This window comes from Homo sapiens, chromosome 1, assembly GCF_000001405.40.
Source record: "Homo sapiens chromosome 1, GRCh38.p14 Primary Assembly".
NCBI lineage: Eukaryota > Metazoa > Chordata > Mammalia > Primates > Hominidae > Homo > Homo sapiens.
This window is the reverse complement of record NC_000001.11, coordinates 77174001-77193069: the sequence shown is the minus strand read 5'-3', so window position 1 is coordinate 77193069 and position 19069 is coordinate 77174001. Positions and strand designations below refer to the sequence as shown.

Sequence of the window (19069 nt, the reverse complement as noted above, 5' to 3'; positions counted from 1 at the left end):
AGCATGAGTGGGAAGTTACTCAATTCAGTAAAAGGTGCTCTGATGTTAAATCCTTACATCTGTCTGTTAACTTATATATTTAAAGTGGTATCCATCTCTAAGCCTTCCAATCATGAAATTCAGATATGGTTTTAGAAAGTAAAACCTATATTAATCAGAACCTGTCAACTTTTCACCATACAGGATATCTAAAGAAAAGAAGCAAAGGACAATCAAGAAAGATCTTATTAGAGAGCTTATTTTTAGGACTAATGTATTTTAGTCCTAAATGTATTTTAAGACTTATTCTGTATTTATTTCCACCATCCTGTACTCTATACCCATTAACTCTAGCATGTTGTGACTAAATTTTAATCACTACTTCTATGTTAGAAGTGGAAGAAATTTTAAAAGTTTCTTATCCAGAACTCTGCCTTCTCTTTTATTTTTAATGTGGTTATCTACTAAAAATATGTGTTCACAAGTCATCTCTACCATATTATTCAATATGGTAGAAAACTGGTTTAAACCAATTTTTTCTTCTACTCCCTGAAAATGAAGTTTGCTGGCTAATTCTGTAATCTTGTTTCCATTATTCCGTAAAGTTTAATTTTATTTTTCCATAATCTTATTGCAATGTGGAATCTAAAATATTGATAAAGTAAGTGCCTGAACAATTTAATGTGTAATAGTTAAATCAAATTCATGAGAATGAACACCATTATATTGCTTTTAAAATGTATGTATTGTTGAATTACATTTAATTGAGATTTGTTAATATCTTCTAATTAATTTGATTTCATCTGTGACAGTCCTCATTCTATATTTTTTCCCTTTAATTTTTGTCTTAGTTGGCTTTTATGATCAAACTGAAGAGCAGAGCAGTGGCAAAGTACTCTTCACGACTAGTGTTGTGTCCCTATATTTAGTCCTTGCCAAAAGATTTTTTTTTTTTTGAGACAGGGTCCTGCTCTGTATCCCAGGCTAGAATGCAGTGGCGCGGTCTCGGCTCACTGCAGCCTGGACCTCCTGGGCACAAGCAGTCCTCCTGCCTCAATCTCCTGAGTAGCTGGGACAAAAGTGAAATTAACATTTGTGAATAGAATTCGATTTCTTTGGAGGAAGATATTCCACAGAGTTTTATATTAATGGTTTCTAAGAATTTGGCCTGAGCATGAGTGGGAGGTTACTCAGGTATCACCATGCCTGGCTAATTTTTGTATTTTTTGTAGAGACAGGGTTTTGCCATGTTGCCTGGGCTGGTCTCAAACTCCTGGGCTCAAGCGATCCGCCCACCTTGGCCTCCCAAAGTAATGGGATTACAGGCATGAGCCACTGTGCCTGGCCATTGCCAAAAGATTTTTAAGAAAATGATAAAAGTGATGGCTCAGAAGAAAAATAGACATCTGAGTTCTTTAATGAAAAGAATATCTTTGTTATCTTGCTTTCCGCCTGGAGAAAACTAAGCAGATCTTTTGATTTTCTTGCCATTTGACGCTAGAAATGTATCATAAAAGGCATATTAGTGATGTTTGCATACATTTTTTAGGCAAAATGTATAATTCAGGATGTGGTCAAGTCCTAGGAAATTGCTTGCAGCACTCTAAAGAGGTTAGATGTAGACTGTTAAAATCTTTTGGTGCTAAGCAAGGTTCCAAAATACTTTTATTATAGTAGCTTAGTTAGGGAGACTGACTAAGTCAGTACAGATCATTATTGGAAAAATAACAAAAGTAAAATTTCTGTTGAACGTGAGAATATGTGAAAGATTGCACATAGTAGTTTAAGTTATGATAGACTGTATGCAATGTATGAAGATTTTAAAAAATTTTGTCCTATACATTTTAGCAAAAAGAAAGTTACGCTAGATCAGTGACATTCATGACTACAACACTCTTGATTTTGACTATTTCTGTGAGCCATCCAAAATGATCAGAAAGATAGTAACTTGTAATTTTGGTAATGTAATGCACAGATTTGAATTATAAGCCTGAGGTTTGTGTGCTTTAGTAAGTTAGTAAACTAATTAGTGGGGAGTTAAGCAATGGAAAACAGGAAGAAAGAGATGGAGAACTTGTCAACGCTGTACTGATTTTCATCCTGAGAGGAATGGGGAAGGGAACGGTGAGGTGGCTGTGCTGTTTGCCCCCTCTCCTGCTATTGGAAGACTGATTAACATTGGGGAATATTTGAAGGTAGAGGTGAAGCAGTGAAGATTTAAGGTGTAGGCTACTGGTACACATGGTTGAGAGTGAAAGTGGCAGTCCTGGTGGCTGAAAAGAACTGATGGCTAAGAACCAGCAGCAGGATGCAGCCCCAATACCTCTCTGTAGAAATGAGTCAGGGGCTTTGGGGAATTAATTGGAGACTGTCTAGAATATTAGCCTCTTTATCTCTTTGAAGTTCTGTTATCTTAGTTTTACAATTGAGGCACTGAGATTTTTCATTTGTATCTTACTACATTTACAGGTGAAATTATATGCTCTAGTGCTGTTCTTTGAGAATTTTTACTCAGGTCTCTGGATGGTTTGATTTAGAATTTCAAGAGCCTGTTTTATTTTAATTATGTGCCATAAATATTAAACAGCAATGATGAGGTCATGTATCTAACCTAATCGTCAGAGTCCATTATCAATTTAAGACAAAAACATATCATTAAATCCTTTTTTCTTTTTCTTTTTCTTTTTTTTGAGACAAGGTCTTGCTCTGTTGCACAGGCTAAAGTGCAATGGCATGATCGTAGCTCACTGTAACTTCGATCTCCTGGGTTTAGGCAGTCCTCCCGCCTCGGCCTCCTGAGTAGCTAGGACTACAGCCATGCGATATCACAATCAGCTAATTTTTTTTTGTTTTTTGTTTTTTTTTGGTAGAGATGGAGTCTCACCAAGTGGCCCAGGCTGGTCTTGAACTCCTGGCCTCAAACGATCCTCCCACCTCAGCTTCCCAAAGTGTCAAGATTACAGGCATGAGCCACTATGCCCGGCTATTAAATGCTTTCAAATGGCAGTTCTCTTAGTTTCAGCATAATGCAAAGTTATTAAAAGCAGACGTTCATGTCAGACAAATCTGGGTTTGAATTCAAACGCCACTACTTGCTAGCTGTGTGACCTGGGGCATGTGTGTGCTTCCATCACATAACCTGTAAAATGGAGATGATAATAACATATAGCTCATAAAAATAGTGTATGAGATAATGCTTGTAATGTGCTTATTTTATGACTGCAATACTTGAGACATACTGAGTTGTATTAGGGTTCTCTAGAGGGACAGAACTAATCAAATATACATATACGTATATGTATATCTGTATATCTGTGTGTGTGTGTGTGTGTGTGTGTGTGTATATATATATATATATATATATATATATATATATATATATATATATATATATATGAGTTTATTGTTAACTCACACAATCACAAGGTCCCACAATAGGCTGTCTGCAAGCTGAGGAGCAAGGAGAACCAGTCCAAGTCCCAAAACTGAAACTTGGAGTCCAATGTTTGAGGGCAGAAAGCATCCAACATGGGAGAAAGATGTCAGCTGGGAGCCTAGGCCAGTCTAGTCTTTCATGTTTTTCTGTCTGCTTTATATTCTAGCCACCCTGGCAGCTGATTAGATGGTACTAACCCAGGTTAAAGGTGGGTCTGCCTTTCCTAGCCCACTGACTCAAATGTTAATCTCTTTTGGCAACACCCTCACAGACACACCCAGGACCAATACTTTGCATCTTTCAATGCAATCAAGTTGACACTCAGTAACCATCACAAGTCTATCCCTTGTCAACTTGAACCCATACACATCTGAGATTATATGTAATCTTCAAATAAAGACAATAATAAGTCTTTTGCCTAAAAACATAATTTTGCCTAACATAATACAACTATCCTTTGTACAACTGGAAACACATCAATCCCAAACCCAAATGTACTGTTGTATAAAGTTAAGAATACTTAAATGCTGATATGAAGTCAATAAATCTTATGTCATATGATAAAGGAAAAAGGAAATAAACTGAAGATATTTTCTAAGTACAAATGTATACATGCACAATCATGTTTTTAACAAAAGAGGGAGGAAATACTCATGACAATTACAGTTCCTGTTTCTGCAGCTGGTCACATGATCATAGCTGGTATAGATGACTACTTTCTTTTACTATACATCCTGTATTCCTTTTGCCTTCAGCAAGCACCTTAACAAGTCTTGGTTTTTTTCCTAGTGGGGTGACTATCGGGGAACCTGCCCCGATAATCACATAGGTTCTTTTCTATTTTTCCTAAGCATCGGCCGGCTTGAGAAATAAAGGGACAGAGTACAAAAGAGAGAAATTTTAAAGCTGGGCATCCAGGGGAGACATCACACGTTGGTAGGATCCGTGATGCCCCACAAGCCACAAAAACCAGCAAGTTTTTATTAGGGATTTTCAAAAAGGGAGGGAGGGTGTGAATAGGTGTGGGTGACAGACATCAAGTACTTAACAGGGTAATAGAATATCACAAGGCAAGTGGAGGCAGGGCGAGATCACAGGACCACAGGACCACAGGACCGAGGTGAAATTAAAATTGCTAATGAAGTTTCGGGCACCATTGTCATTGATAACATCTTATCAGGAGACAGGGTTTTGAGATCAACCGGTCTGACCAAAATTTATTAGGTGGGAATTTCCTCTTCCTAATAAGCCTGGGAGTGCTATGGGAGACTGGAGTATATTTCATCTCTGCAGTTTCGACATAAGAGACAGGCGCACCTGGGGGGGCTGTTTATAAGCCTATACCTCCAGGCACATATTCTCTTTCTCAGGGATGTTCCATGCTGAGAAAAAGAATTCAGCGATATTTCTCCCATTTGCTTTTGAAAGAAGAGAAATATGGCTCTGTTCTGCCCGGCTCACCAGTGGTCAGAGTTTAAGGTTATCTCTCTTATTCCCTGAACAATTGCTGTTATCCTGTTCTTTTTTCAAGATGCCCACATTTCATATTGCTCAAACACACATGCTGTACAATTTGTGCAGTTAATGCAATTAGTGCAGGGTCCTGAGGCGACATACATCTTCCTCGGCTGACAGGATTAAGAGATTAAAGTAAAGACAGACATAGGAAATCACAAGGGTATTGATTGGGGAAGTGATAAGTGTCCATGAAATCTTTACAATTTATGTTTAGAGATTGCAGTAAAGACAGGCATAAGAAATTATAAAAGTATTAATTTGGGGAACTAATAAAATGTCCATAAAATCTTCACAATCTACATTCTTCTGCCATGGCTTCAGCCGGTCCATCCGTTTGGGGTCCCTGACTTCCCGCAACAGGTGACCCACACCTTCATTCCTGAAGGGTCTGGGCCATTTGTACTCCTGCCTGGATTGGGCTGTTATAGTTTCCCATTGACCTTAATCACAGGGCGTGATAATACTAAGAAATGCCCTAATGGATCTTCTGTATTCCATGCATATTCTTCCTTACCTCTGTTGTGGAGTAGTGGACTGATTTCATCTTGATAGTCTGGGTCAGTCACTGTAACTGACACTGTAACTCCCTTATTAGCCTGTTGACTTAAAGGTAGGAGGAGCCCAAAGTGTCCAGGTGGCAATCTTAACTTCTAGTTTAATGGAATCATTGTTGTGTCTCCTGGTGTCAGTGTTCCTCCTGCTGGAGGTAAGACCTCTAGGCCAGAAGAGCGTAATGTTGCAGGAACAGGCAGCAAAAATTTTGCTAGTGGATCACTAGGGGTGATGATGAGTGGTGCCACTTCCACATCTACCCCTTGATTCCTGGACCTGTGAATCCTGGCTATGGGAGAAACAGTACCATATATTGGATGCTGATTCAGAGCATACATGGCCTTTGGGAGAACTCTGCCATCTAGTTGGTGTTTTAATTGTGACTTCAAAAGGCCATTCCACTGTTCTATCAATCCACCTGCTTGAGGATGATGGGGAACATGGTAAGACCAGTGAATTCCATGAGCACGAGCCCACTGCTGCACTTCTTTAGCCGTAAACTGAGTGCATTGTTCAGAGGTGATGATGTGTGAAATACCATGACGGTGGATAAGGCATTTGTGAGGCCACAGATGGTAGTCTTGGCAGAAGCACTGTGTGCAGGATAGGCAAACCCATATCCAGAGTAAGTGTTTATTCCAGTGGGGACAAACCACTGCCCTTTTCGTGATGGAAGAGGTTCAATATAATCAACCTGCCACCAGGTAGCTGCCTAATCATGCCGAGGAATGGTGCCATATTGAGGGGTCAGTGTTGGTCTCTGCTGCTGGCAAATTGGGCACTCAGCAGTGGCCATAACCAGGTCAGCGTTGGTGAGTGGAAATCCATGTTGCTGAACTCCTGTGTAACCTCCATCCCTGCCACCATAGCCACTTTGTTCATGGGCCCATTGGGTGATGACAGGGGTGACTGGGGAAACAGGCTGAGTGATGTCCACAGAACGGGTCCTCATATCTACTTGATTGTTAAAATCCTCCTCTGCTGAAGTCACCCATTGCTGAGCTCTCACATGGGATACAAATATCTTTACATTTTTGACCCCTCAGGTCCATCCACATACCTCTTCCCCAAATTTCTTTGTCACCAATTTTCCAATCATGCTTCTTCCAAGTCCCTGACCATCCAGCCAGATCATTGGCTACAGCCCATGAATCAGTATATAGTCACACATTGGACCATTTCTCCTTCCATGCAAAGTGCACAACCAGGTGCACTGCTCGAAGTTCTGCCCACTGGGGAGATTTCCCTTTACCGCTGTCCTTCAGGGATGTCCTAGACGGGCAGTAGTGCTGCAGCTGTCCACTTTCAGGTGGTGCCCACATATTGTGCAGAACCATCTGTGAATCAGGCCCTCCTCTTCTCTTCCTCCATCAGCTGATCATAGGGAACTCCCCATGAGGCCATCCATGGAGGCTTGGGGAGAGAAGGCAGGGTGGCAAGAGTGGAGACCATAGGCATTTGAGCCACCTCCTCATGTAACTAACTTGTGCCTTCAGGACCTGGTCAAGCCTGATCACGTATATGCCACTTCCATTTGATGATGGAATGCTGCTGTGCATGACCTACTTTATGGCTGGATGGGTCAGAAAGCACCCAGTTCATGATAGGCGGTTCAGGTCGCATGGTGACTTGATGACACATAGTCAAATGTTCAGTTTCCACCAAAGCCCAGTAACAGGCCAAGAGCTGTCTCTCAAAAGGAGAATAGTTATCTGCAGAAGATGGCAGGGCCTTGCTCCAAAATCCTAGAGGCCTCCGCTGTGGTTCACCTATGAGGGCCTGCCAAAGGCTCCAAACAGCATCCCTGCTTGCCACTGACACCTCAAGCACCATTGGATCTGCTGTGTCATATGGCCCATGTGGCAGAGCAGCTTGCACAGCAGCCTGGACCTGTTGCAGAGCCTTCTCCTGTTCTGGACCCCACTCAAAACTGGCAGCCTTTCAGGTCACTCAATAAATGGGCCGGAGTAACACACCCCAGTGAGGAATGTGTTGCCTCCAAAATCCAGTTAGGCCCACTGGGCATTGTGCCTCTTTCTTGGTGGTAGGAGGGGCCAAATGCAGCAACTTATCCTTCACCTTAGACGAAATATTTTGACAGGCCCCACACCACTGGATCCCTAGAAATTTTACTGAGGTAGAAGGTCCCTGAATTTTAGTTGGATTTATTTCCCATCCTCTGGCATGCAAATGTCTCACCAATAAGTCTAGTGTGTTTGCCAGTTCTTGCTCACTGGATCCAATCAGCATAATGTCATCAATGTAATGTACCAGGGTGATATCTTATGGAAGCAAAAAGGATCAAGGTCTCTCTAAATAAGATTATGACACAAAACTAGAGAGTTGATATACCCCTGAGGCAGGACAGTAAAGGTATATTGCTGGCCTTGCCAGCTGAAGGCAAGTTGCTTCTGGTGGGCCTTGTAGACAGGCATGGAGAAAAAGGTATTTGCCGAATCAGTGGCTACATACCAGGTACCAGGAGATGTGTTAATTTGCTCAAGCAATGAAACCACATCGGGAACAGCAGCTGTAATTGGAGTCGCCACTTGGTTAAGTTTATGATAATCTGCTGTCATTCTCCAAGATCCATCTGTCTTCTGCCCAGGCCAGGTGGGAGAGTTGAACAGGGATGTGGTAGGACTCACCACCCCTGCATCTTTCAAGTCCTTGATGGTGGCACTGATCTCCACAGTCCCTCCAGGATGTGATACTGTTTTTGCTTTACTATTTTTATAGGTAGAGGCAGCTCTAATGGCTTCCATTTGGTCTTTCCCACTGTAATAGTGCTCACCCTACCAGTCAAGGAGCCAATATGGGGGTTCTGCCAGCTGTTAAGAATGTCTGTGCCAATTTTGCATTCTGGCACTGGGGAAATGACCACAAGATGAGTCTGGGGATCCACTGGACACACTGTAAGTTGGACCTGAGCTAAAACCCCATTAATTACCTGTCCTCCATGAGCCCCTACTTTAACTGGAGGACCACAATGATGTTTTGAGTCCCTTGGAATCAATGTTAGCTCAGAGCCAGTGTCCAGTAGTTCCTGAAATGTCTGATCATTTCCCTTTCCGCAGTGCACAGTTACTCTGGTAAAGGGCTGGAGGTTTTCTTGTGGGAAGGATGGGAGAAAGATTCACTGCATAAGCTGTTGGTTATGTAGTGGGGTCCTTCCTCAAGGGGACCTGACCTCCCCTTCATCCCAGGGATTCTGGATCTGTAAACTGGCTCAAGTCTGCAAATTGATTGAGGGGCCATGATTCTCTGTTTTTGTAATTCAAATCAGTCTTTTGTCCATTTGACCTCGAAGTTTTCTGCTTGTTAAATTAAGTAGGAATGCAGTAGGCTTCCTGTCAATTTCACTTCTAGGAGCACCGTGATTAATTAGCCAGTGCCAGAGCTCTACACCAGTTAGAATATTCTGATTGCCACTTTGCCTTTGCTGTCCATTAGAGTAGCTATGCCTACCTTTCCTTTGACAGCTGAGTGATGCCACTTGGCCCTTGCCACCTTGGGATCCCATTATTTCCACTGTATTTAAATTTTGTAGTTGAGCAACTGCGGTTCCCACTGTCAGATCTGACATACAGAGAAGAGCAATAACAGGGCTCTTCAAAAATGCAGTTGCTGCCCTCAGAAATCTATTTCGCAAGGCATTGGTCAAGGATATATCTTCTGGATCCTCTCTGCTGGGATGAATAGGTCTAAAGTGACTAATCCACTCCACTATCCCAATCTCCCTAATCCTTTGGGTCCCTTTCTCTACATTAAACCAAGGGAGATCAGGCATTTCCACCTCTCACAGTGGGCCATCTTTTAATCCATATTTCAGCTAATCAAGCAAATAAACGATTAGAACTCCCCCTCCTCGAGGTGCAACATTAAATGCAGAGTCCCTACTTAGTGGGCCCAAGTCAATAAATTTAGCCTGATCTAACTCTATGTTCCTTCAACCATTATCCCACACCCTTAATATCCATTCCCATGCCTGTTCTCCAGATTTCTGTTTATAAAAATTAGAAAACTCAAGCACTTCAAGTGTAGTGCACCTCCTCATGGGTCACACTCTGAACCTCACCTGTAGGGGCCTGCCAGGACTTGTTATAGATCTGAAAGCAAACAGGGGTGTTGGAGGTGGCTCCTGAGGAGAATCAACATTATTTTGCCTAACAACTGCCTCAGGGGAGGCCGTTACTGTTGCCTCAGGCAGCATAGGATTTATCTCCTCAGACAAAGGTGGAAAGGCTTATGGCAGCATGGGTCGGAGAGGGGATGTTGCCACTGCTGGGGATGGGGAAGCTGTTTCTTCTGGCAGAAAAGGTTCATCAGAGTTTACAAACTCAGTGACCCCAGCTTCATCTGGGTCCTCCATATGTTCCCATTCCAAGTTGCAGGGTCTCATTCTTTTCCAATCAATGCCCTCAGTTTAACAATAGACGCCTAGTGAGGCTGTCCATGCATTTTTCATTACAGGTCAGCCACTTGCATGATAAGAACTTGTGTCTGTTTTTCCACAATTTCAACTCTTTCTCTACAGGAGATAAGACTCTCAGTCAGGGCAATCTTAGCAGATGGGAGGCTCAGTATCTGAAGCCGGGAGACAGAATCCCTGAGTTCATCATTTTTTTATCACTTTGTCCACCAAGCTTAGGAGCAACCAACCAGCTTCATTATGTTCCTTGGTTCTCCAGATATGGTCAAAGGTATTATGTATAGAGTTACTAAACTCCTTGTCTCTCATGAGCAGGGAATCAGGTGTGTCAAATGAATTTATTTTGCATAACTGTCACAATAGTTTATGCTAAGGACTATCAGTGTTCTCCATACTATTAGAAGTAGAGTCCTTAGCATTTTGGGGACTGATCATATTAAGCAGCCAAATCCAGAAACCCCAAAACCAATGAAAGAACTCCATCCTTAATATTCTGTTCCTCTAGGATCACTCCTCGTACCAAAATCTATACTAGTCAAGGTTCTCTAGAGGGATAGAACTAATAGTATGCAAATATATATAACACTTAATAAACTCACATATGTGTGTGTGTGTGTGTGTGTGTACAGATAGATAGATAGATAGATTGATCCTGGGTGTGTCTGCGAGGGTGTTTCCAGAGGAGATTAACCCTTTGGTTTAACTTTTGAATTAACATTTGAGGCTGGGAAAGGCAGACCCACCCTTAATCTGGGTGGGCACCATCTAAGCAGCTGCCAGTATGGCTAGAATATAAAGAAGGCAGAATAATGTGAAAAGACTAGCTTGGCCTAGCCTCCAATACTACATCTTTCTCCCCTGCTGGATGCTTCCTGCCCTTGCGCAATCTAATCAAGTTGACTCTCAGTTGTAACCATCACAGGAGTGCTCAATAAATGTTAGCTGTTATCTTCGTTATATTCAACCACATGTAACTTTAAATATATGAGCCTATAGCTAGCTAGCTCTACCCTCATGTAATTTGTCTCTGTGATAACATGTCTGCTTACTGATGAGTCTGTCAGTAATTGTCTGCAGTGCAATTTTTTCAGTTTTTATTTCTGATAATATGAGTACAGAATACCTGGAATCATGTATCGAAGAATGCTAATTGTTCAACATTTGGCAAATTGAAAGTAATTCAGAAAATCTTGATGGTCAAGCATCTGTGGTTAGTAGATTTATTACGATGAATTTCACAGTGCATTGGTGGCTAGAGTTATTAACTTGAAGATTCCTCAAGACATGGGAAGGGAGGAGGAAGAAAAACCAAAAGGTAATTTACCCTGGCATTAAGCTGCTGATTAGCTTGACTTGTTGAATTTGCTTGACCTAATTACATTGCTGTAGAACCAGTAATCTACAGAGTATCCTTAATAATTTGTGTCAGGGGGAAAAGCAACACCTATGAGGCAGAAACCCAGAAATTTAAGAGGGCATCAGAGATTCCTGTGACCCTCATATTTCCTGCTGTGTTAATTTCAGTTACTATTCTAGCTTGGGATGATGCTTTTCTGGAAGATAAGCCTGAAGATCTTAGCTCTAGTAGCTAAACAATGCTCTAAGGTAGTATGTGATTAGGCATGGCTGTGGAAAACATTATATATTATTATATATAACATTTTTAAGCGAACAGTTTAAAAACATTTTAACCAATACAATTTATTTAAATTTCATTCCGTGAAAATTTTTTATTAAGGTAATACCAGTTTATTACAAACGAAAAGTTGTGTTTTTTGAAATTTCACACTCTAATGGTCCAGGACTGTGAAAGATTGTTCATCTATTTGAAATATGTATATTTTTTTTACCTACCGGTCACTAGTTCCTGATTGGGCTGCAGAGGAATTTCAGGGAGGCAGGTAAAGAATGGCCTAGCAGCCCTGATGAAGGGCTTACCTGGTTTTTCAGTGTTTGGGCAACATAATAATGGGAAATTATTATTTTAGGCTATTTTTCCCTTCATATATGTTTATCAGATTGGGCTTCCTGACTACTTTTTTTGAGAATTTTTAAAATTTCACTTTTATATTGATGATGATCTTAAAAATATCTATATAGGCATGATCCAGATATTCTATTTAGATGAAGTAACCAAAAAGTGGTAAGGGAAGAAAATATTAGCAGTTTTCTTTGTTTTTATCTAGGAAAGAAGAAAGAAATTATGCTTCTGTGAAAGGAAAATAAATCTTGGGGCCCCAAAATCACTTAAGCTAAAGGGAAAAGTCAAGCTGGGAACTGCTTAGGGCAAACCTGCCTCCCATTCTATTCAAAGTCACCCCTCTGCTCGCTGAGATAAATCTATATCTGATTGCCTCCTTTGGAAAGGCTAATCAGAAACTCAGAAGAATGCAACCATTTGTCTCTTATCTACCTATGACCTGGAAGCCCCCCCCACCCCCACCCACTTCTAGTTGTCCTGCCTTTCCCTACCCACGGAACCAATGTTGATCTTACATATGTTGATTGATGTCTTATGTTTCCCTAAAATATATAAAAACCAACTTGTGCTCTAACCACCTTAGGTACATGTTGGTAGGACCTCCTGAGGCTGTGTCCTGGGCACGTGTCCTTAACTTTGGCAAAATAAACTTCCTAAACTGACTGAGACCTGTCTCATATTTTGGGGGTTCACACTTCACTAGTATTTATTGTATATACTTAAAGTAGTAAATATGTATGACTTATAAATAAGTAGATGTATATGTATGTGCCCTCCCATTTTTTTTAACTAATAGGAATGCATGATTTTGAAAATGTGGAATCTATTTACATAAATAACTACTGTGTAACTACACTTGCTATACAATTCCAGTGCCCACTTTTTCTTTTGGCTTTGTGTTGAGAGAAGGTCATATTATGTATGCTGTGTTTTGTGAAATAGGTTTTGCAGGGGCTTGAAAAGAATAAAGTGTGAGTTGAATCATCATGCATGGTAGAATAGGGTTGCCAAACTATAAAAACAACATATTCTTGTATCTATTGGGGATATTTTGGGAATTTTATCATTTTAATAAGATACAAAAACTTGTTACTGTTATTTATAGGAATGCAGTAGTATGTCTTTAGAGTAGCTTCTTTTTTTGAGTCTTGATTTCAGCAGTGATTGACTTGATGCTTATTCAGTGCAGATTTAAATAACTGCTGTGATGCTGACCTGGTATTCAAGTGAAAAAGACACTTTGAGTTATCAAATGAGACCTTATGATAAATGGCATTCAAAGAATGTTTATTGGCAAAAGCTTATGTAAATATAATATCTGATTGTTCTGAACAGTAAACAGAACCTGGAAATTATGAATTACATAGTGTACAACATACTTTTATGAACAGACATTATCTATATCATCAAATTATGTTTATAGTGTATTAAAAGAAAAACTTCAGCCAAATTAAATTTAAAGGAGTTTAATTGAGCAATGAGCGATTCATGAATCAGGCAGCCCCCAGAATCACAGTAGATTCTGAGAGACTCCAGTGCAGCCATGTGGTGGAAGAATATTTATAGAGAAAAAAAAGGGAAAGGAAGTACAGAAATTGGAAATGGGAACAGGAACAACTGGATTGGTTACAGCTCAGCGTTTGCCTTATTTGAACACAGTTTGAGCACTCAGCAGTATAAGAGTGAAGTATGGCTCCTGGGATTGGTCAAGACTCAGCTATTGTTACAGGAGCATACTCCTAAATTAGGTTTTCAGTGTTGTCTACCTATTAAGTTAGGTTGCAGTTTGTCCACAAGGACTCAAATGTAGCAGAGTCCTTCTCAGACCACATTTAGTTCACTTTACCAATTCCCCCCTTTTGGTTATTTTCTCAATTTTGAGAGATTGACCAAAACTTTAATCATTAATGTCACTGTCACTATCATAAATGTACTTATTTGGTCTTGAAACCCACTGGGAAACAGTAGAACAGTGAGTTTTGCAAAGGTAGGACCAAGGACTGAGTAGAGGGTACCTCCTGATGTTGGAACGTCTTGTTAACAGGAGGAAAACAAACCTGGTCTGTTCTAGGATTTGTGTGTTTCCTTAAAGTCTTAGTTTTATTGTCCCATTTAGCACAAGCAGCTCCATTTTTTGTGGTCTGTTGGGGCCTAGCGCATGATCTCAGTCCAAAACAGTGGCCACCCATAACTTTTAAAAAAATTTCCCCTTTTTAGTCAGGTTCTCACTTAGGTGAGAGTGTGACCAAAACTTACGGCATTAGTGCCACTCTCAGTTACCATCATTTTGGGTTTCTGGTCTCAGCATGTCAGTCATAGGTTACGGTGTCCTCATGGTCACACATTTCTTTCAGCTCTTGTCATTCCAGTTGAAGAGAGACCATTTGACATTTTAGAGATGGCTGACTTGTAAACATTTAAAACCTTTGAGAAAATATAGCGCACCAAGGAGACTATTATTATGACTATCAGGAGGACAATATGAAGAGTTTGGAATATGCTCCTTACCCAGGGTCCCCATAAACCAAATCACCTAAAATCAAATAGATTAAAGAATGAGCTAGATAAAGAGTCTACTCACTTAACTAAGCAGTCTCTCCGTTAATGCCCTAAAACTGAATCTCTATAATCTACGTTTGATGTATTTCTCCTAGACCACAAATGCCAGCAGCTGCAGAGATACTTTTCTGTGTAGCCAATTGTGTTATTTAGCATACCTTTCATAAGAGAATTTAAAGTCTGTTGTGTAACTATACATATTACAGTAGAATCTGCTATAGAGCCTATCATTAAGGATACACTTCTAATCATTGCCGTTTTTACTCCAAACCATGGAAAAAGGACCTAACAAATGATGCCCTTCTAGAAGTATGAAGGCCTCCTGGCAATGTTCTCTTTAACCTGTGATGTGGGTTAAGAGGAATGAACCAATGGTCTGTTTCTGACTGATTATGAGGCAATGTATATACCATTAAAGTTTATCGTGTACATTGGGCCTTCATTTTTTATCTGTCAAGGCATAAGTTTATCTGTATATAAGACTGGCTGCAAAATCCTTCATAAATAAAAGTATACCCAAAGTGCACACAAGAGACCCCCTTTTTATTTCTATTGTTCATAGAGGCATAAACAAGGAAAAAACATTCAAAGATAAGAGTGTCATGATAGTAGAGAAGTCTTGATTCGTGATCTTGGGAAAAGCTGTCATCTTGGGAAAAGATGCCATCTTCTTCTGGGGAGAAACTTTCCTGGTTAGCTTTACCTTAAGGGTCCAAATGGGTGTACAGTTCTAAGAGTGTGGAGGAATCTTTCCCAGTTGTGAGATTATGAATCCAAAGTTCAAGGTTCCAAAGTTTTGTTGCAGTGTGGATGGTGTGGGCAGTGTTTCTCTGATGTTTTCAGAAGATCCAGTCTTTGGGTTCTAGACAGAAGGGTGCCGAGACCAGCTCAGTCGGGGAGATCCTAACTCAGCGGCGCTAGAGGAATTAAAGGCACACACACAGAAATATAGAGGTGTGGAGTGGGAAATCAGGGGTCTCACAGCCTTCAGAGCTGAGAGCCTCGAACAGAGATTTACCCACATATTTATTGAGAGCAAGGAGTGATAAGCATTGTTTTTATAGATTATAGATTAACTAAAAGTATTCCTTACAGGAAACAAAGGGATGGACCGAAGTAAAGGGATGGGCTTTGGCTAGTTATCTGCAGCAGGAGCATGTCCTTAAGGCACAGATTGCTCATGCTATTGTTTGTGGTTTAAGAACGCCTTTAAGCGGCTTTCTGCCCTGGGTGGGCCTGGTGTTCCTTGCCCTTATTCTGGTAAACCCACAACCTTCCAGTGTGGGCATCATGGCCATCTCAAGACATGTCACAATGCTGCAGAGATTTTGTTTATGGCCAGTTTTGGTGCCAGTTTATGGCAGATTTGGGGGCCTATTCCCAACAGAAGGGGTTGACTGTCCTCAGTGAACCATAAAAAGCTTTCTTTACCTGGTGAAAATACACTGTAGCATAATAGTCTACATTATAACGTCAGCCCACTTGGATGGGAGAGCTTTTATACAACCAGAAAACATGCATTGAAAATGACAATTGAATGAAATCCCTTTATAAAATGTTTAAGTGGCCCAACCATCTGGTTACCGTCAGGTAACCAAATGGAGCTGAAGCTTTGATTGTTTTCCCATGAATATGGGTTTGACAAACCAAACATTGGTTATAAACTATTTTAGCAATTTGTAAGTTACCACACCAATATTTAATTTGAATTATTTTCTCTTTTCCATGATGTTTTGGAATGCATAACTTTTAATAACAAAAACTTTAAGGACTCAGGAAGGACAAGGTGGCTGTTCTGGTTCTCCAAGAGTCCATGCTTGACATTGGACTTATGTCATCTTGAATGCCAGTTGTTTTTTCCAATTTAGGTGTATAGCACTGATAACTAACTGATGGGTTATCATAGGTAATTTGACTTATGTTATCAGGAACCTGTATTCAAGAGTGCTTTTCAGGTTCTTTCCATCCTTTCATGAACCTCCTAAAAGACACCATATTCTAGGATTTTGTGTGCTTGTCAAGTTTTGAGAAACTGCAGGAGCATTAAGCAATTAACTGGAAGTGACTTTAAATAGTCATAGTTAAAAACACAGCTGACAAGGACAATTTCTGTGGTCTATAATAACATAATAACCATAATTATGATTGATAGCATTACTTAGACATATTAGAATTTTAGAAATCCCATGCAATATTGGAACATATTGATGACATACACTAAAATATAACCTAAAGAAGGTTAAGCATTATTTTTTATTTTTACAGTGCTTCCCAAATAACATGTCAAATAATCCTGTTTACCTGTCTTTTGGATTCTTCAGGGGCCCTCTGTAGCATCCCAAAGTTAGAGGTCAGAAAAGATAATTTTGAAGCTGAAATTTGATTTTAGGAAGCCTATCAAACATGTTAGAGTTTTAAACACTTGATATGAAATAGAATTACTGGACACCATAGTCATTCATTTAGCCAAAATGATGAAGAATTTCTAAAAAGGCAAAAACCTTTTACTCATTGATAGAGGGGAGACTTAGCTTTCCAAACCATCTGTCTTTTGTCTTTCCCTTCTTTTTTTCCTAGTTTATTCAAAAGGCAAACAAAATTTTTTTATTATCCTTTAATATTACATGAAAATCTTGTTCAGGGAGAGCCAAATTTCACCCTTTCATAAGTCTACTATTAATGTCAACCTCAATTTTTAATAAAACTTTATAGAAAAATTTATCAATCTTAATCAGTTTGGCCATAAGGTGAGATTCTTACAAACCTTTTATAACTCTTTAGAATTTTTGTTAAAGAGCAGATCAGTGCTCTAAGAAAAACCTATTGTGCTTTTTTTTAAATGTTCACTTTATGTAAAAACTGAATAATATCCCTTTAACTGTAGCCAATATGTTTACACACAGAATCTCTTTTACAATTAATTTTTACAAACCTTCCACAACTTGCTCAACATTTAGCTTTGTCTTATCTAATTTAAAACAATCTGTTAACCCTCTACACTAGGCAAAAATTTACATTCTCATGCTTTCTTATAATTTTTTTTTACCAAAAACAAATTTTACTTTCCTTATACACCTTGCATGTAAAACTGTTATTTCAGTAGTCTCAATTACATGTTATAATAGTAACTCTTAGCAGCGTTTACTTTTGGTGCATAAATTTCCTTTCATGAATCCTTTCATGACTTACACAGACCACCTACGTCATGCTTGGACTTTCTGACTTGTCCTAAGCATCCCTGTTTTTAACCAACCAGTTATTTTACTTCAGGACAAGAATTTACCATACAGGATCCTTTCTTATATAAAATCTCTTTTCTTTATAACCTTCTTTGCATAGCTAGAGGACGTGGCTGATTCCACATTTCCCCAGGCCTTATCTAGAATCTATCATTTCCAAGATAGGTAAATTGAACAATTTTCAAAAGTCAAAGCAGTTTATGACCTTAAAGCATTTAGCAAACCTAATATCTGACCTGCCTGATTAAGAACAAATGTCTTTATTTTACCAATAATCTTTAAAATTTTTTATTTCCCAAAGATTACTAAAGTTACGTGAACTAAAAAGCTTTATGGTTTCTTCTTTCAAATATTTGATTTAAGGTCCTATTTTTCTTCAAGCCAATTAATTAGAGCTCTTTTATAGAAACATCACACACAGAACGCATACATAACTATACAGATAGACAGAAGAAGATCCAGTAGTTGTAAGATTTTTTATTTGCCAGTTTTTAAGGTTTTTAATCGGATTACTGGCTTTAGAGTGGAGTCCTTGGAGGAACAGGGCCAGGAACATGCAGTTTCTACAGATTAATATAATAAGCAGGCACAGCTGGAAGGAAAAATAGATCTCAGAAATTAAGGGTCTCATTCTCATTTTTATATCAGATCCTGGATCCCATAAAGGGGGAATCAGCCAAGCTCCCATGGGTGTCTTATCTCTTAGTGGTGGGTGGGGACATTTCCATAACTTCTAGGTGGCCAAGAGCATGCTTTCTCTGATCCAAATGTGCAGAGCTGAGTATCTCCCCATAACTGCCATTAGCTATCCCTAAAAGTATATTTCCTACCTGATTATTACACACCAAAGCTGTCTTGTGATGCAAAGTCATTTCCGATACTCCCCAAAGTCGGAAACATCAGATAAAGCAATACAAAACAGAACAGAGTCTTAGATTTTGAGAGGGATCTATCCACTTTTAATTCCTGAGGTTTCTTGAGGAAAACAGAGGTTTTTCCCAAAACACGGTGTGTGGTGCCTCCTCTGCTTTTCCCAAGGAGTCCCAGGCTGTTAGAGCTTGAATATCCACTTTTAATTAAGCTGACTTTTAACTCTAGCCCTCTATAAAAGTCCTTTTAAATTTCTTACTACCCCACTTTAGCCAGGCAAAACAGCCAATATTTCTCGCTTAGAGAAAGAAAATTGTAATACAGTTTATGGAGGGGAAGAGAATCAACAGATGGTAAGTTTCATACAGATATCAAACCAGAAAGGACTCGTTCCCTAAGCCAGGAATTGAACTCAGGCCACCATTGTAAAAAGGCAAGGCCTTAGCTACTGAGCTATATTGGATAGCTTCCATTGCTCTTCCTAGAAGTCTAGAGCAGTCAAT

General features: G+C 39.7%; 1 protein-coding gene across 1 annotated transcript in view; it reads left to right on the top strand.

Moving 5' to 3' along the window:
- PIGK (phosphatidylinositol glycan anchor biosynthesis class K) overlaps positions 1 to 19069 on the top strand; it is a 130442-nt gene that overhangs the window by 26361 nt on the left and 85012 nt on the right. The window lies entirely within an intron of this gene.